At 39.8% G+C, this 26,102-nt stretch overlaps 2 protein-coding genes and 1 long non-coding RNA gene across 15 annotated transcripts in view, besides 4 other annotated features; 1 reads left to right on the forward strand and 2 right to left on the reverse strand.

Moving 5' to 3' along the window:
• The window catches only part of PNPLA8 (patatin like domain 8, phospholipase A2), a 57,762-nt gene extending 50,738 nt beyond the window's left edge, over nt 1-7,024 (reverse strand). For 8 of the 13 annotated variants that reach the window (XR_007060039.1, XR_007060036.1, XR_007060038.1 and 5 more), the window contains exons 1-2: nt 4,875-4,981; nt 322-367 (exon numbers count right to left, since the gene is read on the reverse strand). Coding sequence is in view for 2 of the 13 variants with exons in the window: in XM_011516275.4 (XP_011514577.1) it covers nt 322-367; nt 4,875-4,956 (128 nt within the window). In the remaining 11 variants the exon portion in view is untranslated. Of the gene's footprint in view, nt 1-321; nt 368-4,874; nt 4,982-6,902 lie in introns of those variants that run through there. The other 5 variants (NM_001256010.3, NM_001256009.3, NM_001256008.3 and 2 more) reach the window with 3 other exon arrangements.
• Nucleotides 2,903-3,438: an enhancer, noted in NCBI's record as "H3K4me1 hESC enhancer chr7:108164501-108165036 (GRCh37/hg19 assembly coordinates)". NCBI's record gives its function as "activates a minimal SCP1, AML or CMV promoter by ChIP-STARR-seq in primed H9 embryonic stem cells {active_cell/tissue: H9 hESC(primed)}" and the evidence as "EXISTENCE:reporter gene assay evidence [ECO:0000049][PMID:30033119]".
• Nucleotides 4,118-5,078: an enhancer, noted in NCBI's record as "H3K27ac hESC enhancer chr7:108165716-108166676 (GRCh37/hg19 assembly coordinates)". NCBI's record gives its function as "activates a minimal SCP1, AML or CMV promoter by ChIP-STARR-seq in naive H9 embryonic stem cells {active_cell/tissue: H9 hESC(naive)}" and the evidence as "EXISTENCE:reporter gene assay evidence [ECO:0000049][PMID:30033119]".
• Nucleotides 4,850-4,969: an enhancer, noted in NCBI's record as "active region_26502". NCBI's record gives its function as "activates an Ori minimal core promoter by ATAC-STARR-seq in GM12878 lymphoblastoid cells {active_cell/tissue: GM12878}" and the evidence as "EXISTENCE:reporter gene assay evidence [ECO:0000049][PMID:35858748]".
• Nucleotides 5,260-5,599: an enhancer, noted in NCBI's record as "active region_26503". NCBI's record gives its function as "activates an Ori minimal core promoter by ATAC-STARR-seq in GM12878 lymphoblastoid cells {active_cell/tissue: GM12878}" and the evidence as "EXISTENCE:reporter gene assay evidence [ECO:0000049][PMID:35858748]".
• LOC124901722 (uncharacterized) lies at nt 5,321-8,628 on the forward strand. Its single transcript, XR_007060473.1, has 2 exons — nt 5,321-6,491; nt 8,297-8,628. It is a non-coding gene; the product is annotated as an uncharacterized LOC124901722 (long non-coding RNA).
• THAP5 (THAP domain containing 5) overlaps nt 20,605-26,102 on the reverse strand; it is a 28,010-nt gene continuing 22,512 nt past the window's right edge. The window contains exon 4 of the transcript XR_007059987.1: nt 20,605-20,858. The gene's annotated coding sequence lies outside the window, so the exon portion shown is untranslated. The remainder of the gene's footprint in view (nt 20,859-26,102) is intronic.

Below are 26,102 nucleotides of genomic sequence, written 5' to 3' on the forward strand. Positions count from 1 at the left end.
GTAACTAAGATTTAGAAATAGAAAAAAATTAAGTAGGTCTAAAATGTTCAAAGATGAAACAGAAGGAAAATAAAGAGTCGAAAAGAGAACTGTACCAAGAATAAACAAGGACAGCAAAATCTTAGAAATGAAAACTCCAGCTATGTGCTAGCTACAAACACACCTATAATGAAAGGCTGAAAATACAGGACTGGGAAAAATGTTATACCAGACCTAAACTACCCATCAGAAGGTAAAAAGCCTTTGAAGGTAAACATAAGGGAAAGGCATTAATTATGGATAAAAAGGAGACATTACAAAATAAAGGAATGATCCACTTACTTATTAAACTTCAGGTAATCATGTAGACCTTGGAGGAGAAGACAATCTATTGAGAAATAAAACAAATAATAAACGTAATGTATAAAGTCAGCCTGAGAAGTGCCATGAATTAAAATAAAGCGGGAGGAGGGGAAGAAGGCCACAGAGTGCTATTTTATGGTGTGATCAGAACTGAGTTGACATTTTAGTGGAAACCTGAATGAAGGGAGGAAGAAAATTATTAAGAAAATCTGGGAAAAAAGCATTCTAGTCAGAGAGAAAAAACAACCCACAATTTGGAGACAAACAGCAAGAACTACAAGGTGGTTAAAGGCAAGTAAGGGGAAAAAATAGAATGATAAAGATGAACCAAACCAAAAATAAAATTCTGCAGCTCTCCTAAACATCTGAACAGACCCCTCCTCTTGGCCAAGGGCATTCCAGAGTTAACCTGAAAATCTAGTTCAGGCCACGATGGAAGGGGGGTTGGATGTGCCTCATTATACCCCTCCAGCATTCACATCAACACAGATCTTAAGTCTGATAAGAAACATTTACAGGCCGGGCGTGGTGGCTCACGCCTGTACTCCCAGCACTTTGGGAGGCCGAGGTGGGTGGATGACGAAGTCAGGAGTTCAAGACCAGCCTGGCCAATATGGTGAAACCCCGTCTCTACTAAAAATACAAAAATTAGCCGGGCGTGGTGGTACGTGACTATAGTCCCAGCTATTCGGGAGGCTGAGGCAGAAGAATCACTTGAACCCGGGAGGCGGAGATTGCAGTGAGCCAAGATCCTGCCACTGAACTGCAGCCTGGGTGACAGAGCGAGACTCCCTCTCAAAAAAAAAAACAAAAAAAGAAAAAAAAAAAACATTTACAATCTATTCACTCTGCAGCCTGCTACCTGGAGCCTTCATCTGCATCATAAAACCTTGGTTTCCACACCTCCTTATGGTAACCCAAACATTTCTTCTACTGATAGTAACTCTTTCAACCAACCGCCAATTAGAAAATTTTTGTATGACCTGGAGGCCCCGTCCCCTTTGAGTTGTCCTGCCCTTCCAAATCAAACCAATGTGACTGATTGATGCATTATGTCTCACTAAAATGTATAGAGGCAAGTGGCATCTGACCACCTTGGGCACATGTCAGCAGGACCTCCTGAGGCTGTGTCACGGGTGCGTCCTTAAACTCGACAAAATTTTCTAGATTGAGACCTGTCTCAGATATTTTGGGGTCACAGACCCCAAAATTCAGGCAGGAAATGGAGACTAGGCTATGGTAAGAATTTTGCATTGTTTCTTTCCAATATGACGAATTTATGAAACCACCTATCAACTTGGCATTAAAATACAGTACAAAAGGCCAAAATAAGGGAACTATTACAAGATTAGACAATTTCATAATCATGAGAGATTTAATACACCTTTCTCAGAAACTACAACTATCAAGCAAAAATTACAAAACAAAGATGACCAACAAAATCAATAAGTTTAATTGCCCCCAAATCACAACACTAGTAAATGCAAGGTAAGTGTTTTGAGAGTACATTCAGCCAGAAGTTAGATGGCAAAAACACAGGAAGAAGAATGTAAAGTGAGATGCTATCATCAACTGAAAAAAGAGCAAGGAAGAATAGAGGTAGTATAAATACAATGGAGGTACGAATAAAACAAAACGGAGAGGCTGGGACCAAACACTTAGAGAAGGGAATGGAGTTTTAACTAGAGGAATTAAGGGAATTGTTAGATGGAGACCCAGCTAAGGATGGAAAGAATGAATTTACAGAGTATGTCACTTAATTATTAATATAACAGTCAAAAGGGTGACAACAGTCTGAAGGTAACAGTACTGAGGAGAGCAAAGATCACCTGGTGGCCATCGAGCAGACCATCCAGAGGGAAAGCTCCTTATCTGAGGAATTCAGAAACAATTAGACTTCTCTATTAGCTAAAGCCGGCATCTGGTACCAGGATTCTTTCCCAGAAATTTATAAGTAACTAGAATCTCTATACATGTCCAGAATGTATGCATGTCGAAACTCACTGTGCAACTTTTGCTGATATCAAAGCACCAAAATGTCTATAAATGTAATCACTGATCATGACCTACGTGGCTAATATGGTCCAAGTTACCCTTCAGCTTCTGCTTTAAGGTCCATAAATACCCCTAAGAAAAAATCCACTGCGGTGAGCTGTCCTCTCTTGCTGAGGCGCCTGGCTGCACTCTTCTGCAGCACTCTTTCTATCCAATAAAACTTTCCTTTTCAAACCTACGGTGTTGTCGGTAAATTTTTCTTACTACCCTACTACCCCAAGCTGACCACTTTCTGATGCTGGGGCTCTGACACCTCACCCAGCAAGTACTAGTGTGGGGAAGAGGGCCACTCTGAACACTTTGAAAGTAAGGGAAAAAAGAGAAAACAACAAAACACAGGACTTGACAGCCAAGAATGGGGTAAAGAGAGGGAAGTGTTAAGAGAGCTCTAAGGTTTTAAATCTGAAAAATACGGAGAGTGCCATTTGCGAATATGAGAAAACTGTGAAGGGGACAATTTAATAGGAGAGAAAAACACATTTTCTTTTGGATTCACAGGATGAAGTAACAGTGGGACATTCAAATGGAAATGTACACAGACTGTGGATTTACTTGTGGAATTACCAGCATAGTGGCAGCAGAAACCACAACATTAGACGTATTTACCAGATGATAGTTTACAGTAATAATACATGACTATTTTGGGATCAGGCAACCTGAGTAAAGCTTTTCTTCCTTGAAAAATGTGTATTTGCAATACAAACTATATTTTCCATAATATTTCAGGATATTCACATGCCCACTGAAGTATATTTGGGTTTCAAACACGAAACTCTGGTTTAGGGAGAGCGACAGGGGTAGAGCCTTGAGTGCCACCCAGAGCTAGGAAGAGGAAGAAAAGACTCTAAAGGAAACAAAACAGGAGAAAAGCCACCCTGAAAAAATCAGGACACTGAAAACCAAGACAGGACCAAATTTTTTCAAGTAATGGATAATGAACAGAATAAAATACTTGAGTACTGCAGAGAAAGATAAGAACTAAGAAATGACTGGCCAGGTGCGGTGGCTCAGGCCTGAAATCCCAGCACTTTGGGAGGCCGAGGCGGGCGGATCACCTGAGGCCAGGAGTTTGAGAGCAGCCTGGCCAACATGGGGAAACCCGTCTCTACTTAAAAAAATTAGCCGGGTGTGGTTGCGCACGCCTGTAAATCCCAGCTACTCGGGAGGCTGAAGCAAGAGAATCGTTTGAACCTTGCAGTGAGTCGAGATCGCACCAAGGCACTCCAGCCTGGGCGACAGAGAGAGACTCCCAACAACAACAAAAAATGGCAGGACAGGAAGGTGTCTATGGCTCAGCATTCTAACTCTGACCTTTTTACAAATATATATTCCATGAGTGAAGCAATATGCAGCTTCAGCACAACCCCTCTAACTGGGGTAAAAAAAAACAACTCAAAGTACAGGCTGTTCTTGTAACAACTTTGCATGTGAAACAAGTGAATAGCTAAACTAGTGAAACTGGCCCTTTCATTCAACATCACTCATTAAAAGGGCGTTTACAAGATTTTAATTTAGTCCTGATATAGAAATAAAAAAAGAGATCAACATTAAGAAAAAGTTGATTATAATTACGAAATAAAAACATGTTCTTATATTGAAAGGACAACTAATTTGCATAAGCAATTTAACAAAATAGCTAAAATGGGCTTGATACAACTGCCTCACAAGGCATAAGCTCTTAATGTTTCACTGTTTAACAGCATTTTCTTAATACACTGAAACATTTGTCATTTTTGAACTCTCAGAAATTAGGACTGCAGAACCAGGATACAACTGTTTTGGAATTGAAAACAGTATTTTAAGCAGGATTATATGATAGTCCCTTATGTCACAACTCTCCTGAGTTTTTCCTATGAGTCACCATTTTAAAGTTATCATTGTATTAGGCGTGGAAAGCAGGTTCCTTCCAGCACAATGATAGAAATGACACAGGGATAGGAAGCACTGCAACACAGTGATTCATACACCTTATCCACTTAAGCAACAGCGGTCAAGGATAGAATCAAATGTGGATGGGGTCAGAAAGAGATTACTGACAAAAAATATCAGGCAGTAGAATCACCAGGTGCACACTGACAGTCGAGAATGATGTAGACTAGGGAAACCCTCCTGAGAGTGACCAGTTAACTACTGGAGAACACTACAGTCCAGGGGAAGGCAGACAGACTCTGGAAAATTGAGGAGGGAGTCGTGGGGATGGGACAGGGGGAGCAGGGCGGGACCTGCGAAACCAAATACGGTTTGCGCTTCTGGGGCAGCAAAGCCCACGGGGGCGGAGGGCGCCGAGTACCAATGAGCTCCAGGACCTGCGGGCTCCTTCCAGCGCCAGCTCCTCCCCAAAGCCTGGCGTGTCCCCACCCTCTCGCTCGGGAAGTGCCCTCCAAAGAAAGAAAGGACGACCCGGAGCGCCGGACAAGGGTCCAGAACGATCAACCAGCCTCCTATCGTCCCGCCCCTGTCCCCTCGCGGCTACTTACCGGGATGCAGGCCGCAGTCACTAGGGCTGCAGCGGCGACTCGCTCGTTCCCGGCAATGACGTCCACTCCAACCGGCCTGCATCAGCTGAGCTTCCAACACAAACACTGGCGCAGCAGCTAGGTCGCCACCCACTCAGCCCCGCCCCGCTCCGCCCCCAGCGGAAGTGACGCGCTAGAAGTTTGGGTCTACCCGCGGGCCGGGGTGAGGATTTTCCGCCTCGCTCAGGCCTCTGCCTCCTTGTCAATCTCCGTTCCTCCCCCGCCCCGAGATATGCGCAATAGAGCATGACGGAGCGCAAGGCGGGAAGCCGCGACAGACGTGTGTGCGTGCGTGCGTGCGTGCGTGATGCGCGAGGCGTGGCTTGCTGGTGGGGCGTGCTGTGCCTTGGTTGGTTGCCGGGTGTGAGAGCGGTGGGACTTCGTTTTGCCTTCCTGGGCGGGACCTCGGAGCAGTGTCCTGGTTTGCTTGTTTGCGGGCCGCTATTCCCTTTCAGCAGAGATAAGCCTCCCTCTCCGCGTCCCTGAAGCCCCTGCCTGCGCTGAGTTCCTTGGAGCTGGGGGCTGCGATACCAGTCTCTTGGAGGGTGGTGCCCGGCGCGGCCGCGCCCCTTTCTCTATATCCATTCCTGGGCATGGCCACCCAGACTAAATGTCACTCAAAAGCGAGTTGACATATATTACTGTATTGGAAGTTAGCATAAACCGCCCCACAAATGGTCCCACACGTAACACATCTTTTTAAAATTGTGGCATTTCATACGTACCACAGGGGCAAACTACAGCCCTCAGGGCAAATCCAGCCCACCGCAGGTTCTGCTGTACTAGGAGCTAAAAATGGGTTTCACATTTTTCAAAGGTTAAAAAAAAAGTTTTGCGACAGATGACAATTATATGACATTCATATTTGTGTCTGCTTTTTAAAGTTTCATTAGAACATAGCTTTGCATTCCTATACATGCTGTTAATTAAAGCTTTTATACTACAATAGCGAATTTGGGTAGTTGCAATAGCCCCTTACCCTCTTGAAGTGACCTTGCAATTACGTTGAGGTCGGGAAAACAGATCAGTTTCAACTAGTTATCAACCTCAAAATGTTATCAAGACTTATACTGTACTCTCAAGGCTTACCCACTACCCATGGGTATGTATGCTTTAGCCCCCTGTAAGGTTATTGTAAAGTCCTTAAGGAAGGGGATTCTTTGACCTGTCAAATGTAGTGGATGTTACCCTGATAGTTGTGTTGTTTTGATTTTTTTAAATCAAGGAGGGAAAGCCAGCTTGCTATGTTCTTGGGACACAGTGTCTGGATTATGTACATCATAATGCCTGGTAAACCCCAGCAGTGGATAAGCCAGACATGTTATTTAGCTACAGGAGAGTTAAAAGATGTATGCACCAATTAAGCCTTACAGGCGTGTGGAAGGAGCTTTAGTTTTTGAGACAGATTCCTCCTTGTTGCTAAAGAAAAATTATTCTGACACTTGTTAAAATGTCAAGGAAGACATTTAGAACTATTGCAATAGGTGCCATGACTATCACCATGGGGGAGAGAGATTGGCCTCAAGTTTTAATACAACAAAAACAGCTAGGATTTATAACCAGCAAGCAGACTGAGGGGTCAGTTCATGGAAAATTACTAAGAAGTGATATCAAGGGTCGGGGATATTCTTGTTAAAGTGACTTACAAGATTCTTGCTGAAGACAGGCGGAGATGATCAATTATCAAGGCTAGGAGATACTCTCTAAACTGACTTTGCAAGATTCTTGCTAAAACTGGACTCAGCAGGCCTAAGACAGGGGCCCAAGGATGAGGCCTAGTTGGGAAGAGGGCTCAGAGGAGCCTAACTAAAGTATGGTCAAGGAGAGAGCACCACCATTCCCTCTCCGCTTATGCTCTTTCATCCCCTAATTTAGTCAGATGTTATTAAATATCCAGATTTTCCTCCCATGTCAGAAATTTTCAAATAACGCCCAATTCCTGCTTCTCCATTCTTATCCTTCCTCTCCCTCCCTTGTCTACCACCATACCTTTAATCAGTCATGAAGTCTGATGAGTTTTACCGCAGAATTTCTTGAATCGTTCCTCTGCTCCACATTCGCATTTCCACTGCTCTAGTTCAGGCTTTCATCCTTGCTCTTCAGTTTCATCTAAACTGGTTTTCCAGCCTGTAACTAACCTCTGACCCAGTCAGTCTCTTCTGTGCAACCACGGTAATCTTTTGAAAGTGCAAGTCCAATCGTGTTTTCCCGAATTAAAAAGCTTTTGCTGGCTGTACATCTTCACAGAATATACCGAATGAAATTATAGGTTCTGACCCTGCTGACCTTCCAGCCTTTACTTTCACCACTTGCCTCTCACTCTCTATCCTCCAGCCACACCTGTACTTCCCCAGATACTCTTGTTCCTTTTCATACTTAGTGCCTTGGTCATGCTGTTGGCTTAGCTCCCCTTCCACCTTGTCCTCCTAAAGATTTGTTTGTCCTTCAGCCAGGAAAATCTTACCTCACTACTCATAGAATGAATCATTCCTTCCACCTGTGCTCACTTCTCTTATTGCCCTTGCTGCACAGTATTATAATTTATTTGTTTATATGCCTGCCAGTTTCCTGCAGTCAAGGAGCGTAAGGTAAACTGTATTGTCTGGATCTAGCGTAACATCCAACAAATAGTAGACTCTCTAAAATTCTGTATTATTGAATTGATTTTTAGTTTCATTTAGATTACTAGTTTGATAAGTTAAAAATGGAAAATAAAACCCATTTATGATTCTTTTGATGTTGGGCAGTTTTGAGACAAAAGAGAATTATATTTAATTTCAAACAAATTCAGTAGTATGCAAAATTGGAGATTATCTTGTGTATAATAGCAGACTAATGCCTTCAGGAAATCATCTATACTTGAAATAATGCTAAATACAGTAATTGTTCAACGCTATATTCTTTGGAAGCTGGGTAAAAGAGACATCACATTGCCCTGTATCAGTTACTTGCTATGCTCATTCTATTTATAAGGTTTATTATTGATTTATCTATTTTAGCTCTTCTACATCCATAGTCACTCCTTTCTGGTCTGGTTCATAGCTTTTTAAAAGAGCTGCTAATATCTTTATTGTTCAAATAAAACTTAACATTATAACCAAAATAAATTAAGCCATATTGGTGCAAGATATCTCTCCAGATCACCTAAGGGAGGGATATGCCAGAAAATAATTCTAGAAGAATAATCACCATGGTAGGCTGAAGAATGGCCTTCTAAAAAATGCCCATGCCCAAATCCTTAGAACCTGTGAATATGCTACTTTACATGGCAAAGGGGACTTTTTGCAGATGTAATTAAGGGTACAGATTTTAAGAAAGGAAAATAATCCTGGATTATCTCTGTGGGCCCAATCTAATCACATAAATCCTTAAAATCAGTACAGATGTGGCAAAGCGAAAGTCAGAGAGATCAAGATAATGAGAGGAACAATTTGACAAGGAATGCAGGTTGCCATAGGGAACCAAGAGCGGCTCCTGACTGACAGCCAGCAAGGAAATGGAGACCTCAGCCACACAGCCGCAAGGAGTTGAATTCTGTCAACAACCTAAATAAAACTGAAAGCACACTCTTCCCCAGAGGTACCAGACAAAAGCTCAGGTAAGCTGACACCTTGATTTCACCCTTATGAGACCTGGAACAGAGGAACCAGTCAACTCTTGCTGGACTTCTGACCTACAGAACTGTGACATAATAAACTTGAGTTGTTTTAAGCCACTAAATTTGAAGTGTTTTGTTTCAGCAGCAATAGGAAATTAATATAATTATCTTTATATAGTTTGAAAACATGAAAGCAAGGATTTTCTGTTTTGATCCTTAGCACCAAGGCACAGCAATTATTAATAAAGTGTGGCCCGGAGCGTTGGCTCATGCCTGTAATCCCAGCACTGTGGGAGGCAGAGGCGGGTGGATCACCTGAGGTCAGGCGTTGGAGACCAGTCTGGCCAACATGGTGAAACCCCATCTCTGCTAAAAATACAAAAATTAGCTGGGCGTGGTGGCGGGCACCTATAATCCCAGCTACTCAGGAGGCTGAGGCAGGAGAATGGTTTGAACCCGGGAGGAGGAGGTTGCAGTGAGCCGAGATCGCGCCAATGCACTCCAGCCTGGGTAACAGGGTGAGGCTCCGTTTGAAAAAGAAAAAAAAAAAAGTTAATTGTTCAGTAACTATTTGGTGAGTGCATATTGAAAGAATTGAATTTATTCATTCAGCCATTATCTACTGAGTGCTTACTATGTGCCTGGCACCAAGCTATTTGCTGGAGGTAAAAAATTGAAGCACTGTCACGGAACTCAAAATATAACCTTAGGTAATAATACTATTAATGTAGAAAGAGCACTAATGGAGACATGAACTGGATATTATGAGTCTAGAGCAGGAATACCTACCCCAGCCTGTGGTGTTGGGAAGGAACTTCTGAACCAAGTCTTAAAAGATGTTGCTAGCAAGACAGATGGCAGTAGTGGAGTGGTAAAAGTGGGAAGAGAAAGGAGAGAGCTTTACAGAGAGAAGTGATGTTTGTAATAAAAGGCAATAAGGCAGGAAAAAACATAGTGCATGAAGGGAACTATGTGTTCCATGTTTGTACTGGAAATGTAATATAAGGATTGGGTGAGAGCTGAAGAACTTGGACCTGATCTTCTGGGTGATCAGAACCACTGTCAGATTCTAAGACAAAAGAATAACATGGTGGAATTTAAGTTTTAAGTACATTTTTTTGGTACCATGAGAGGGCAAGATTTGAAGAAGATGAGGAGTCCTGTTGTTGTCATATTTACTGTTTTCCTATTTAACCTTTTAATAAAAAAATCATTCTTTCTCCACCTTAAAAACTGCCTTAAAGAATTTGCCTATTTATACCTGCAGTTCAGGCCTCTCTATCAGGCTTGAGACCAGTTTATCCAGCTTCCTGCTGGGACATCTTAGAGGAACTAAACCAGTGGGAAATAAACCAGTTATATATAAGGTGATTTTCTGGGTGAAGAAAGAATAGTTTTATTAATAGACAGGTTATAGCTAAGGTTTTGGCACAAGAGTAGCAACATAAAATTAAGATATTAAGGACACATAATTGTATTTTCTCCAACTTACTTTTGAATCTGAGTTAGATTTTACCTTTTACCTAATACTTTTGTAGGTTATTCCATGCCTTGCTTATTTCTATGACAACTCATCCAGTTGAAAAGTTGGAATAAGTCTAAAAATGCCCCCATATTCAATTGCATGTTAATTTCTTTTCTTTCTTTCTTTTACTTTTTTTTTTTTTTTGAGTCAGAGTCTCACTCTGCCGCCCAGGCTGGAGTGCAGTGGCGCGATCTCGGCTCACTGCAACCTCCACCTCCCAGGTTCAAGCAATTCTCCTGCCTCAGCCTCCCAAGTAGCTGGGATTACAGGTGCTTGCCACCACGCCCAGCTAATTTTTGTATTTTTAGTAGAGACGGGGTTTCACCATGTTGGCCAGGCTGGTCTTGAACTCCTGACCTCAGGTGATCTGCCCGCCTCTGCCTCCCAAAGTGCTAGGATTACAGGTGTGGGCTACCACACCCGGCCTCTTTTACTTTTTTATTTGAGATGGAGTTTCGCTCTGTTGCCCAGGCTGAAGTGCTGTGGTGTGATCTTGGCTCACTGCAACCTCTGCCTCCCAGGTTCAAGTGATTCTCCTGCCTCAGCCTCCCAAGTAGCTGGGGTTACAGGCATGTGCCACCACTCCCGACTAATTTTTATATTTTTAGTAGAGACAGGGTTTCACCACGTTGGCCAGGGTGGTCTTGACCTCCTGACCTTGTGATCCGCCTGCCTCAGCCTCCCAAAGTGCTGGGATTACAGGCATGAGCCACTGTGCCCTGGCGCATGTTAGTTTCTTATAGGCAAGTATCAATGTTTGCATTGCTTAACTTCAGACTTAAGGCAAGGTTGGAGTCCTGTCCTCCCTCACCATTTACTGGTTGTGATACTGTGGGCAAATAATTCCCACAAGCCTCCCTTTTTTCATTAGTAAAATTTTCAGTATCCCAATTCAGTAATGTAAGTGCATTATGATCTATGGTCAGAGAATGAGGTACTGTGATCAAACAGCATGGTCAGACTACTCCAAACCCCTCAACAGGGTCCTAGTGTGAAAACAGCATCTCTCATAGAACCACAGAATTTGTTTTGGGGAAAAGTTGTTCACGGAAGGAGAGAAATACAGGGCAGAAAAACAAAAAGGCCAGGCAACACAGCAAGCAGATAAACACTGGTTGGAATGTATGAATGAACCAGTGCCTAAATGCGATGGAGCAAGTAGCACTTTTCCTTTAATGCCAATCTATAGTTTCAAAGAACTTAGAGGTTTGTTGGGGACCAACAATGTTTGGAAAGGACAGTGCCAGGGATGAACATGTGCTTTACTGTAGGCAATACTTAGATTCCAGTTCTAAGCTTTGCCACTTATTTGAACAAATTACCCAACTTTTAAGTCTCAGTTCCAAAAGCTGAAAAAGATATCATTTATGAGGACCTTTTCAAGGACATTTGGACTCAGTTTGAGACAGAATGTCTATTTTTTAAAAGGCAGCAATACTTGCTTATATTGTATCATAAAATCATTCAAGTATAGACGTTACAGCCTATGAATCAGAGTTATTATTTTATCACTCCCAAAACAATAGTGAGCAAGATTCATAACCTCTCTGACTCTTACTTTTCTCATCCAATAAATGGGCACACTAATACTCATAAGGTTTGTGGAGGATTAAATGAAATAATACATGTAAAATGCCTAGTATTTATAAAACATATTTCTTGTACACATTTAATGACCTGATTATTGTGTTAGTCTTTGAATATGCCCTAGTCAATAAAACAGATAGTCCTAGCCCTCGTGACCTACACAATTTTGTAGAATGCACACAGAGGATAAACAGTAAATTTGGCTAATATTATTGGCATACCAATACTAAATGGGGCTGAAAAGAAGTTGACAGTGTTTCCAGTTATATTATTTGAAGTAAGAGGCTAGCTTGAGTCAATGTAGTAGGATGCTAAATTCAATTCAAAAGAAATGGCATTTGTGAGCACCAACTATATGCAAAACAGTGAGCTAGATATAGTTCCTGCCCTTGAAGGTTTGGTAGTCTTATAGAAGAGTCAGATGTCTACAGTCACCATGAAACAAGGAAAAATGAAATGTGTTATGTAACAGAAGAACCAACAAAGTACTGTGAGAATTCAGAGGAAGCAGTTATTGATTCCAAAAGGGGGTTAGAGATGGAGTTGTCAGCTTTAGCAAAGTAAACATTGCATGGAACATATTCATACTAAAAATATTATTTGTTGTTTATCTGAAACTTAAATTTAACTGAAATACACATCGTGTATTTCATCTGGCCACCCTAATTAGGGAGAGCTGTTGGCTGCTGAAAAAGGTACATTTTATACTATTTTCTGTATTTAAAGCAACTGCTTCTCCAACTAACAAAAGAAAAGAGTAGTAGGACTATATATTTGAGTGTATAGTCTCTATTGACTACATAGGTCATTATATTTACAGAGTTTTAAAATTTCCACCAAACTTTTTGGCTTCACTTTATGCCAAGTAGAAAATTGAGATGTATATATTCCATATAACATATTTTAAATCTAAATAGTTCAAGATACTTTGTTTTTAATTTTGTAATTTTTGTGGGAACATAGTAGGTGTATATATTTATGGGGTACATGAGATGTTTTGATACAGGCACGCAATGTGAAATAAGCACATCATGGAGAATGGCGTATATGCCCCCTCAAGCATTTATCTTTTGAGTTACAAACAATCCAGCTACACTCTTTAAGTTATTGTAAAATGTAAAATTAAGTTATTATGACTATAGTTACTCTATTTTGCCATCAAATAGTAAGTCTTATTCATTCTTTCTATTTTTCTTTGTACCAATTATCCATCCCCACCTTCCCCCAACCCCCTGTCCCCCACTACCCTTCCCAGCCTCTCGTAACCAAAACTCTAAGATACTTTCACTAGATAATTTATTTAGCTTTATAATACTTATACAAATATCTTACATTTCTTTTTAAGCATCCTAATTAAATAGTATTTATTGCTGGTATGTTAATATGGTAAAGATTGAACCACTCTCAAGGGCCATTCAATTAGACTTTAGAACAAATTGGTATAGTTCTAATGTTTGATTAAAAAATAAAATTTTGGGGATATTGGGACGTGGTATAAACTCAACTAATTCTCACTAATTCCAAAACAACTCCTTGTACTGGTTACCCCTATACAGCTCTTCCAGCTAGTATTAATGTGATGCATGCGATTGGCAAGTTCCTGTGGTTGCTTGACATAGGCTTTAAATATGTATATTCAGAAAGTAGTTTTACAGTTTACCAGGTATGATCAATCTTTTGGGAAATGAATTCACTCTAATCAGACTCATAAGAGATTTTAATTAGCCAGAATGTCAACATCTTTGCTTACATTGAGAGATGGGTGGTTTTTTATTAATATTTGCTATCGAGGACATTTTTTTAATTTTTTGCTTAAAAAAAATCAAAATACCTGGGAAAGAGGCTGGCACAGAAAAGTGGTTGGGAGAGAGTGTTCACAGAAAACTTAGAAATAGTTGTGGTAGACATTTTCACAAGAAGTCTCTCAAAGTTTTTCTTTGTTTTTAGGTCTGTGTTGGCAACATTTGATGATTTTTTTTCACTCTTGCAGATCAAGGATAACTGTGGTTTAGATTTCCCTATTTACAGCCCGGTGTGGTGGTTCACACCTGTAATCCCAGCACTTTGGGGAGGCCAAGATGGGCGGATAATGAGGTCAGGAGATCGAGAACATCCTGGCTAACACGGTGAAACCCTGTCTCTACTAAAAATACAAAAAATTAGCCAGGCATGGTGGTACGCGCCTGTAATCTCAGCTACTGGGGAGGCTGAGGCAGGAGAATTGCTTGAACCCGGGAGGCGGAGGTTGCAGTGAGCCGAGATCACGTCACTGCACTCCAGCCTGGGTGATAGAGTGAGTCTCCGTCTCAAAAAGAAAAAAAAAAGATTTCCCTATTTACATAGTTGATTTTGCTAACTATTATGTTTCTAAAACCGTGTATTCCTGGGGTGTTTGGATTTACCTTGAAACGTTGGACTCAATACGTGGTTGCTTGCTTAGCTTGTTATTGGTCACAATTTTTTTAAATGAAATATTCTGTTGTAGTCCATTTTTCACACTTCTATAAAGAACTACCTGAGACTGGGTAATTTATGAAGAAAAGAGGTTTAATTGACTCACAGTTCCGCAGGCTTTACAGGAAGCATGACAGGGAGGCCTCGGGAAACTTACAATCATGACAAAAATGGGAAGCAAGCCTGTCTTACCATGGCGGAACAGGAGAAAGAGGAAGAGAGGAAGTGCCACACATTTTTAAACCATCAAATCTCATGAGAACTCAATCACTATCATAAGAACAGCATGAAGGAAATCTGCTCCCATGATCCAATCACCTCCTACCAGGCCTCTCCCACGTGTCAAGGATTACAATTTGAGATGAGATTGTAACTGACTTTTCCATATTTGTCTCTTTCCCTCTCATTCTTTCTCTCAATCTCGCCTGCCCCAACTCTTGGATAAGTGTTTAGAAATGTCAATCTCCTTTTTTAAAACTTTATCCATTTTTGCCTTTTTACTCACTATATCTTCATCTTCTTTAACATGTTTTCCTAACAGATAATAATCCCTAAACTATAATTTACAGGTTAATTTCACATTTTTCTTGATTCTTTCCTAAGGACATACAGAGATGCTATGCTCTTTATTTTCACCAGTGAGGTATTTATAAACTTATAAATCATGTGGTAGGAAGTTACTTCTCGAAAACCTTCCTTTTGATAACTAATCTTCTGTATGATATATGGGTTTTGTTGACTTCAGTCTTAGGAAGTGACACTTCTGAACTTTTTCTTTAGAGTAGGAAGTTTATCTTAATTGGGGGACTCTAACTTTCTACTTGTAAAATGCACACATAATTGTAACCAAGGAATAAAAGAAAAAACTAGAATTTTAACAGGATGTGTGTTATATTTCCCAACATTATGGAACTTAAAGTTTTCCTAAACTTCATTTTGAGGATGAGAATAACATTAATAGAATAGTCATAGCATTTAGGAAAGACTAAAATAATTAAGATCTGGTGACTATATTTACTTCATTTTGAATTTCACAATTGAATTTCACTCTGTTGCATGATTTGCTTTTTACTAATATTAAAATATAACTATTATGACATAGTAACTTTTAAAATCTCATCTGGTTCTCAGTTGCCTATTAATGATATTTAGAACCATATTATCATTTAGACTTAGCAGTGATCCTAAAAATCATCTATTCTAAATCTGTTACTTACAGATGAGTTCAATATTTCAGTGATACCCAATGAGATTAAATGACTTACCCATTTGCACATACCTAGTGAATTCAACCAAGGTAGGAGAATACATGTATTTTAATTCTTAATTTTCCTTTTTCTCCACTGAACTTTGATGCTTCTAGAATATAGGTACTATTATGAATTATTTTTGTACCAAAATTGAGCTTTTTGTTTTAAGCCAACTTTTAAAATATTTTGCAGTTTTATGAAACAAGAACCAATATTAGCTGTGAGAAGTGACAAAGTATTGTTGAATTTCTTACTAAGTTTTTGGACTTCTAACAAACTTAATTAAAAATATAGATTATAAAAGAAAATAACAAATACTTTAACAAAATAACAAAATTAAGTCAACTTAATAGAGGCACCAAGCAGCAGAAGCAGTATTTTTAAAATACAGAATTAAAATGACGTGGCAGTTAGTGTTTGTCAGATGCAAAGAATTACTGTTAGCCTTCTAAAAATATGGATTTCCAGACCTTGCTCCTGGGAGTTCTAATTCAGAATGTCTAGGGTGGTGCTGTCAACACTATATGACCGAACAAGGGATTTATAACTTTTTGGTTTACAGACTCTTTTGGCAATCTGGCAAAGTCAGTGGAACCTTTCTTGGAATATCTTAGCTTGGACTGAGTGTCCACTGTTGGGGGTTCAGGTAGGTTTGACGAAGGAGAATGTCAAGTCCCTCAGAAGAGTACACGTTTGAGGGCTGAGTAGCCCTGAGCAGGAATTCACTCTGTGGCCAGAGTGTGTCCAGTGAGCTGGTGAAATTGGTAAACTGAGAGAATTTGATTTGCAACTGGGCTGAGGTGCTTCTTGGGAGACAAGGCAATTCAAGTGAAGAAAGAGCCAAGCACTCTGAGTTTGATGCTGTAACAAAGCTGAACAAAGCCTGGGGTGCGGGATAGCTCTCTGTATATAGACTGATAGTTATAGTGAAGTGTTTCTCCAGTTCATGCCTCGAGAACAAAGACTGTCAATAAAAAGTGTAAGAACTCTTCTGTTAAACCTTGTAACTTGTTAGGAGCACAAGTGGCATTGCCACATGTGACATATAAAGCTGGGGCCCATTCTGTATGAGGACCCACAGTCCACCACTTGGCCACCAGCCATGCACAAACCATGAGAGTAGAAGAGATGTCTTATGGCAATTCAGGCTTAAAGTGGTTAGGGAAGAGGTTAGCAGCAGTATAGAAATCCTTCATCAGCAGATGGAGTCATGAATTTTAGTCTGTTTTGTCCACTGCTGAATATTTTGTGTTTATAATTGTGCCATTCACTTACTAGGTACTCACTGATTATTTGTTAAATAAATAATGAAAAAACAAACTAATGAAAGAAGCAATGACTTTATAGCCGCAGGTTGGTTAGTGTTAGAGAAATTTAGGTTACAACAGACCTTGTATGATAATACTAAGTCACTGCTTCTAAAACCCAGATCCAGGAAAATGTCAAAACTGAAAATTTTAAAAGGAATTTCAACAGAAAATCCAGATTAAGGGTGGATCTGCTTTCCCCAGCCCACTGACTCAAATGTTAATCTCCTTTGGCAACACCCTCACAGACACACCCAGGATCAATACTTTGCATCCTTCAATCCAATCAACTTGATGCTCGGTATTACTGGGAGCACAAGTCATTTAGTATTGGTAATCACATCACAGCATTTATTACTGGTGAAAGAATTGTTCTATATTCTGGGTTTGCAGCAGTAAGACAACCAGGAAAAAAAAAATCTGTTCTCTTAAAGAGAGAAATTAATTCCAAAATTTCAAAAAAAAAAAAAAAAAAAAGGTATGTAATGCCAGAAAGTAAGAAATGGTATGAAGCTCAAATGCCCGTGGTCTCCACTCCTGCCACCCTGCCTTCTGTCCCCCAGCCTGCACTGATGGCCTCATGGGGAGTTCCCTATAATCAGCTGACAGAGGAAGAGAAGACTAGGGCCTGGTTCACAGATGGTTCTGTGTGATAATGCAGGCACCACCCGAAAGTTGACAGCTGCAGCACTATAGCCTCTTTCTAGGACATCCCTTAAGGACAGTGGTGAAGGGAAATCTTCCCACTGGGCAGTGGTGAAGGGAAATCTTCCCACTGGGCAGAACTTTGAGCAGTGCACCTGGTTGTACACTTTGCATGGAAGGAGAAATGGCCAGATGTGCAATTATATCTATATTACATCTACCATCTATGGACTCACGGAATGCCTTATCCACCATCATGTTATTCCACACAGCATTGCCTCTGACCAAGGCACTCATTTTATGGCTAAAGAAGTGTGGTAGTAGGCTCGTGCTCATGGAATTCACTGGTCTTACCATGTTCCTCATCATCCTGAAGCAGCTGGATTGATAGAACAGTGGAATGACCTGTTGAAGGTCACAATTACAATGCCAACTAGGTGACAGTCCTTTGCAGGGCTGGGGCAAAGTTCTCCAGAGAGCCATGTATTCTCTGAATCAGCATGCAATATATGGTATTGTTTCTCCCATAGCCAGGATTCACGGGTCCAGGAATCAAGGGCTGGAAGTGGAAGTAGCACCACTCACCATCACCCCTAGTGATCCACTAGCAAAAGTTTTGCTCCCTGTTACTGTGACATTACGTTCCGCTGGCCTAGAGGTCTTAGTTCCAGAGGGAGGAACGCTGCCACCTGGAGACACAATGATTCCATTAAACTGGAAGTTATGATTGCCACCTGGACACTTGGGCTCCTCCTACCTTTAAGTCAACAGGCTAAGAAGGGAGTTACAGTGTTGGCTGGGGTGATTGACCCGGACTATCAAGATGAAATCTGTCGACTACTCCACAAGGGAGGTAAGGAAGAGTACACATAGAATATAGGAGATCCATTAGGGCATCTCTTAATATTACCATGCCCTGTGATTAAGGTCAATGGGAAACTACAACAGCCCAATCCAGGCAGGACTACAAATAGCCCAGACCCTTCAGGAATGAAGGTTTGGGTCACTCCACCAGGAAAAAAACCATGACCTGCTGAGGTGCTTGCTGAAAGCAAAGGGAATACAGAATGGTGGTAGAAGAAGGTAGTTGTCAATACCAGCTACGACCACGTGACCAGCTGCAGAAACGAGGACTGCAATTGTCATGAATATTTCCTTCTTTTGTTAAAAACACGTTTATGCATGTATACACTTGTACTAAGAAAACATCTTCATTTTATTTCCTTTCTCCTTTATCATGGGACATAAGATTTATTGACTTCACATCAGCATTTAAGTATGTTAACTTTATGTAATAGTATTTGGGTTGGGGATTGATGCGTTTCTGGTTGTACAAAGAATAGTCGTATTATGTTAGGAGTAATTATGACCTTATTATTGTCTTTACTTAAAGATTATGTATGATCTCAGGAGATTTGTATGGGTTCAAGTTGACAAGGGGTGGACTTTTGATGGTTAATACTGAGTGTCAACTTGATTGGATTGGTAGATGTAAAGTATTGATCCTGGGTGTGTCTGTGAGGGTGTTGCCAAAGCCCACCCTTAATCTGGTGCATACCATCTAATCAGCTGCCAAAGCAACTAGAACATAAAGCAGGCAGAAAAACATGAAAAGACTAGACTTGCCTAGCCTCCCAGCCTACATCTTTCTCCTGTGCTGGGTGCTTCCTGCCCTGGAACATCAGACTCCCAAGTTCTTCAGTTTTGGGACTTGGACTGGCTTTCCTTGCTCCTCAGCTTGCAGATGGCCTATTGTGGAACCTTGTGATCATGTGAGTTAATACTTAATAAACTCTCCTTTATATATATATATATATATATATATATATATATATATATAGATGGATGCATGTATAGATATATATGTGTGTATATATATAATATATGTAGCTATCCTATTAGTTCTGTCCCTCTAGAGAACCCTGACTAATACAAATGCCCATTACGTATTTGTTGATAAGAGAATTAATTAATCCTCCAAGGTATGGGTGGGAGAAATAGGTTCCACAATGCATATGAATAGTCCACAACGTGGCTTTTGATCTATACATCTATTAAAAAAACCCAGTTTTTATTTTATTATAACTTTTATTGCATCACAATGCAAGTATAAGCCATAAATCAATTTAGTCTGCTCAGTGAATATCTCTATATTTTACTAGTCTCAAGTGATAAGATAGCTTTTCTACTCATTTACTGACCATGATTGCCAAATACAAGACACTCCACTAATGACATAGATTTTTGTGTATTCTGAGAAATGAACTCTAACATGGTCATGAACTTATTTAGCCATTAAAGTTTTTTTTTTATTTTCTTGTTTTTTTATTTTTTTGAGACAGAGTTTCTCTCTTGTTGCCTAGGCTGGAGTGCAATGGCGTGATCTCAGCTCACTGCAACCTCCACCTCCCAGGTTCAAGCAATTTTCCTGCCTCAGCCTCCTGAGTAGCTGGGATTAGAGGCACCTGCCACCATGCCCAACTAATTTTTTGTATTTTTAGTAGAGATGGGGTTTCACCATGTTGGCCAGGCTGGTTTTGAACTCCTGACCTCAGGCGATCCACCTGCCTTGGCCTCCCATAGTGCTGGGATTACAGGCATGAGCCACCATGCCCAGCACCATTGAGTTTTAATATATATACAATTTAGTATTTACAAGCCATTTTATTTATAAGTGTGCACTCTAGTTAATGACTTTTGTTAAGGCATTTGAAAAATACGTTGAAAATTGTTCTTTGGAGCTAAAAATAAGGCTGGAAGTTTAAGTTGTTCAAGTCAATTTCCAGTTACTCTGCTCTTTATTTTCTCTAGTAATCTGAGCAATTTGGCAACACCACTTTAGAGCTAACATGAAAAGACCTAGCTTTATAGAAGCATGGCATCCATTTGAGCCTAGTAATAATTTTTAATATGCCCCAAGGAGATGAATGTTTAATGGCAACCATTTCTATTTAAAAAAAAAAAAAAAGAATGATCATTCCTTGAGCAGAAAAGGAATCTATGAGTTTAGATATTGACTGTATTTTCTGTTGCTATACAATTATTCTGCATTAAAGAATTAAAAGGAAGATTAAAAACTCACAATAGACACATTCAATTACTTCACGTATAATTTCCAATTAAATAAGTTCTAACTAAACCAAATTAGTTGTTAGGCTTTTACCAAAAGTAATTTATGATCCAGGTGGTTTAAAAAGCGCTAGAGACTTGATTAAATTTAGCATTCTTATGTATATGCTCACTTTTGTTGTTTTGCTAATGATTCTCTGCAAAAACAGTTGCAAAGCTCAAAGTAACTTTTAAGTTGTATGGGGCTCTGTAGGCATCCAGTGAAAAGGTCTTTAATACAGCAGTAAGACAGAATTCCTCAAGAAGCAAATCCCCTGTTGCAGGTTCATTCAATCATATAAATGCATTTCAAAGCATCCTGAAATTGAGCCAGCCCATTATGTTTACCAGCTAAAACTTTACAGCTTAACCCTTAAGTTACAACTGTAATATTTCCTTATATGTGAAGATGTTTTTCTTTTCTCTTCAAGATGACATTCAATAATCTGACAGTCCTGTTCATTGCAGCACCTTGAACACAAAAATAAGTCTGAATTGGCTGAAGATCAGGAAAAAAAACCCTTAAATTCAAACAAATGTTTTGGCAAGAACTTTCATAGTTTGTCGAATTTGTATTGCTATTCTGTCACTGTGGAGGGGATAACAGAATTGCTTAGGATCTATATCTATATCTATATCTAGATTTAGATATAGATATATATTATGTAGCATGGTGGACTTGAGTGGCATTTTTCCAGGTTCTTTCCCAACTAATTTGTAATATCACAAATGTCTATAAGGCTAGATGGTAAAGATGTTTGCCTCCATTTATAAAATAATCATGGCACTCAGGTTATCTTTTTCTGCATAACAATCCTGAAACTTAGTAGTTGAAAAAAACAAGCATTTTATTATATTTCACAATTTCCCTGGTCAGATATTTAGGCATGGCTTGGCATCTTCTGTTTCTTTTTTTTGTTTGTTTTGTTTTGTTTTTGGAGACAGAGTTTTGCTCTTGGTGCCCAGGCTGGAGTGCAGTGGCACGATCTCGGCTCACTGTAACCTCCACCTCCTGGGTTCAAGCGATTCTCCTGCCTCAGCCTCCTGAGTAGCTGGAATTACAGGCATGTGCCACCACGCCCAGCTAATTTTTGTTTTATTGGTAGAGACAGGGTTTCACCACATTGGCCAGTCTGGTCTGTAACTCCTGACCTCAAGTGATCCATCTGCCTCGGCCTCTCAAAGTGCTGGGATTACAGGCGTGAGCCACTGTGCCTGGCCAAGCATCTTCTGTTTCATATGGCATTGACTGAAGTCACTTAGTGGCATTCAGCTGGCAGATGGGCTGGTCTGGAGAATTCAAAATGGCTTCCCTTACATATCTGGTGCCTTGGTGGGAATGGCTAGAAGACTAGGCTCAAAACTTTTTTTTTTAAATTTAATTTATTTTATTTTATTTTTTTGAGATGGAGTCTCGCTTTGTCACCCAGGCTGGAGTGCAGTGGCACGATCTCGGCTCATTGGAACCTCCGTCTCCCAGGTTCAAGCAATTCGCCTGCCTGAGCCTCCCGAGTAGGTGGGATTACAGGTGCCTGTCACCACGCCCGGCTAATTTTTTTGTATTTTTAGTAGAGACTGAGTTTCACCGTATTAGCCAGGATTGTCTCGATCTCCTGACCTCATGATCCGCCCGCCTCAGCCTCCCAAAGTGCTGGGATTACCTGTGTGAGCCACTGTGCCCAGCCAGCTCAAAACAATTGACTGGAACAGTATCACAGGGCTTCCAGAGCATGGTGAGCTCAGGGTTGTCTGACTTCTTATATAGCAAATTGCTTTCCCAAGAATGAGTGTTGCAAGAGGCCCAGGCAGAAGCTGCAAGGCTTTTTATGAGCTAGGTTTGGGAGCCCTAGAACATCAAGCAAGTCACTAAGGCCAGTCCGGATTCAAGAGAAGGGAAGAATAGGTTCTGCCCTCTATCTCTTGATGGAGTAAGGCATGCTTAGCCAGGAAGAAAAGAAGTTGATGGTGATCATCTGCCATCACGATGGTACTACAAACATCACAACTAGGGACTGATGATAAGCAGTCTATCACCAAATGATTACTTTCCAAGAGAAAGTCGTCTTTAAAATGTTGCAATTTGCAGTAGCTGTGATCTTCAGTTTTGCATATCTAGGTCTGAAATATCTCCCAGTATTTTTTATTGCTATACTAAATTGTTCCAGCCAAGGATATCCAAGACCTATGTGATCAGGATTTTCCTGGGTTGGCCCTATTTTTTTTATCCCAGTGATAGTTTTGACCATCTGGCATGCAAAATTTTGTGGGATATTTAGGTAAACATACACATAGGTAAACACAATGTATTGCACATCAGAAGTTAACAGCAAATCATGCCAGTTTGAGCTAGGAAGTTATACAAGTCACCACTGGGACCTCATTTTCCTATATATAATGGGGGGTAGGCTGGGCTAAAATATAAAAAAAATTATGAACGACTATATGCCAATAAATTTGACAACTTAGATGAAATGGATAGTCTTTGAAAAATATAACTTACCAAAACTAACACAAGATCAAAAAGAAATTCTGAATAATCTTTTTTCTATTAAAGTAATTGCATTTGTTTTCAAAAACTTCTCCACAAAGAAAATTCTAAGCCTAAGTGATTTTCCTGATGAAGTCTACTAAACATTTAAGGAAGAAAAGGAGACAATTCATGGTCCAAACTGTCAATAATCTTCTAAATAAAGAAGGACATTGGGCCAGGGACGCTGGTTTACATCTGTAATCCCAGCACTTTGGGAGGCCGAGGCGGGTGGATCACCTCAGGTCAGTCAGGAGTTCAAGATCAGCCTGGCCAACATGGTGAAACCCCATCTCTACTAAAAATACAAAAATTAGCTGGGCATGGTGGCAGGCGCCTGTAATCCCAGCTACTCAGGAGGCCAAGGCAAGAGAATTGCTTGAACCTGGGAGGCAGAGGTTGCAGAGAGCCGAGATCGCGCCACTGCACTCCAGCCTGGGTGACAGAGCAAGACTCCATCTCAAAAAAAAAACAAAAACAAAAACAAAGAAGGTCATTGATATAGAATAGGTAAACAACAACAACAACATATGGGGAGTAAAAAACGCTTATGAAACAAACTCTCCATAAATTCTTTAGTAATTAATTAATTAATTAATTAATTATGAGACAGGGTCTCACTCTGTCACCCAGGCTGGAGTAGCAGAGGTGCAATCTCAGCTCACTACAACTTCTGCCTCTTGGGCTTAAGCAATTCTCCTGCCTCAGCCTCCTGAATAACTGGGGCTACAGGGGCACATCACCATGCCCAGCTAATTTTTGTAATTTTTTATAGAGACGGGGTTTCATCATGTTGCCCAGGCTGGTCTTGAACTCCTGGGCTCAAGCAGTCTGCTAGTCCCAAAGTGCTGGGATTACAGGCATGAGCCACTACGCCTGGCCTAGATTCTCTGTAAATTCCACACTTGAAATGCAGTAATGCAAGTTTAGAAGGAAGAGGCAATCAAAGGAAACTAGTAGAGATATTTTCAGAAAAAAAATAAATTATATTTAGTTTTATTTTTGTCTTATTTAGAAAGATATAGATTGCTATAGTTTGTTGAATTTGAGGCTACCTTTTTAAAAATAGACACACTGCCAAGAATGACAAAAACAGTTGGATTGCTCCATAAAATGAATTGATATAAGATTTAAAAAGACCAGTAAATGAAGCATAGCATTATTAATATTACTATGTAGTGTTAAGAATGTCTATACTGTTTTTAAAGTGTAGTGAAAGTGACTTTTCATGTCTAATAGATTAGTATAGTTCCCAGAACAATTGTAAACCGCAAATTTTTGTTATTTTGAGGGAGTTGGCAGCAAAACATTCCACAGCATTAAGATAGAATGGCAGCTTCTAAGTCTCAAGTGACAATTTGCTGTCAGTTCCATTGTGAAAAGCGTGACTAGTTCAAATATTTACAGACAATTTTAGGAATAATATATCTGTGAAGATAGAGAATAAATTTAGGTAGAGCTTAAGCTTCATAGAATAAAATCCTAATCAAGAGATAAGTCATTCAAGATGAAGATAATTGTCTAGAAAAATATCTATTTAGAAAAATATCAAAGTCTTGACTTAAAAATTCAATTTAGAATTTAGATAATTCCAACATAAGGAAGATTTAGGAGTGGCTGATAGATCACCTTTTGTACTGTTGGGTTATTACATTTTTGAGTTTCATTGATTTATTTGTTAATCATTCTATATATTGCAATTAAAAATAGGAGTCTTAGAGTCAATATTTTGTGACTTTCTGAGTGGGACCTCAAATAGAAAATAGTGATATGTGTATTTTTAACCATCTTAAATTTCTTTTCTCTCATTTAAGTCTTATATTTTCTAAATTTCCCATCTCCTTTGACATTCTAATTTCTATGGTTTTTCCTCTATTTGCTCTTAAAATGGATAGAGTTGAGATACACAGTAGGGCAAAAGAGCCAGCACAGAGTTAGCAACAGGTTTTGAGATTGAGTAATGTAAAGTTCCCATTAGGTTAACGATCTACAATATTTATTAAATAGTAAATAGATCTAAGCATTTACTAAATAGTACTTATTAAATAGCATTTATTAAATAGTAAATAGATCTAAGCATGATGCAGTTCACTTTATCAACCATCTGTCAATCAGATAAGGCCACAAGAGATAGCATATTATTATCATCCTGTTTTTCTGTAAAAATTTGAGGGCTTGCTAGGTGCCAAAAACAAGTTTTGGCCTCCACCTCTTAGGAACTTGCAGAGCAGTCACAGAGACTGATACATAAAGAGGCAATTACACAGCAAAGTGTGATTTAGTTATAATAATGAATAGAATGTGTTCAGACAGGCATAAACAACCAGTTGGTGTGTACACCTGGAACAGGTGATATTTGAACTGGTTCTTCAGTGATACATAGGACCCTTACCCACACCGCTGCCCCTGAAAAGTTCTGGTTTCAGTTTTGCTCCAGATTAACAACAACAACAAAAATAGGAAGAGGAATCGTAAGGGGACGAGGAGGAAGAAGAGAAGGAGAAGGAGGAATTTGTGGGATCATTTTATCTAAGTTTGGAAGCAAGTTTTCCCATATCAAGAATTATTGTTTAAAACCAGGGTGCTCCATTCTCTATTCTTAATAGTGCTGTCGCCTCACTTAGTATTTTGCTATTGCTAAGGAATGAGCAGTTTACCTTTGCATGACTTGAGCTGATGTTGTTGTCTATTTTTTATTAAAAAGCTTTGTTTACAGTACTCTTCAGAAATACATTACTGTGATGATACCTAGTAATGTGCTTCTACCTCCTCACTAAATTATATTACCAATGCAAACCAGATGTTTCAGTCTCGCTTGCATTGGTAATAAAATAAATCGGAGCTGGATCCCAGCTCTATGCCCCTCCTATATTAAGGAACATTGTTTTCCCTTTGTGTTTTATCATTTCCCAAATTAAGGAAACTATCCAGGTGGACTGGAAGTTGATATGCTGAAGGGTGTTTCAAAGCACCAAGTTTTAACAAGGCAAAACAAATGCTTCTTGAGCATATTATTTAATGTTCCAAAAAAGGAATAGACATTTCTTATTTAATGACATTCTGGGAATTGTTTGAACAATTTGTATAGTGTCCGTCATCTGTCACTCTCTACTCCCTCAAAAATTCTTTCTCATCTTTTAATACCACACTGATGAACGGATTAACTTATTTTTCATCCGTGGTTCAGG

Source organism: Homo sapiens, chromosome 7 (assembly GCF_000001405.40).
Source record: "Homo sapiens chromosome 7, GRCh38.p14 Primary Assembly".
NCBI lineage: Eukaryota > Metazoa > Chordata > Mammalia > Primates > Hominidae > Homo > Homo sapiens.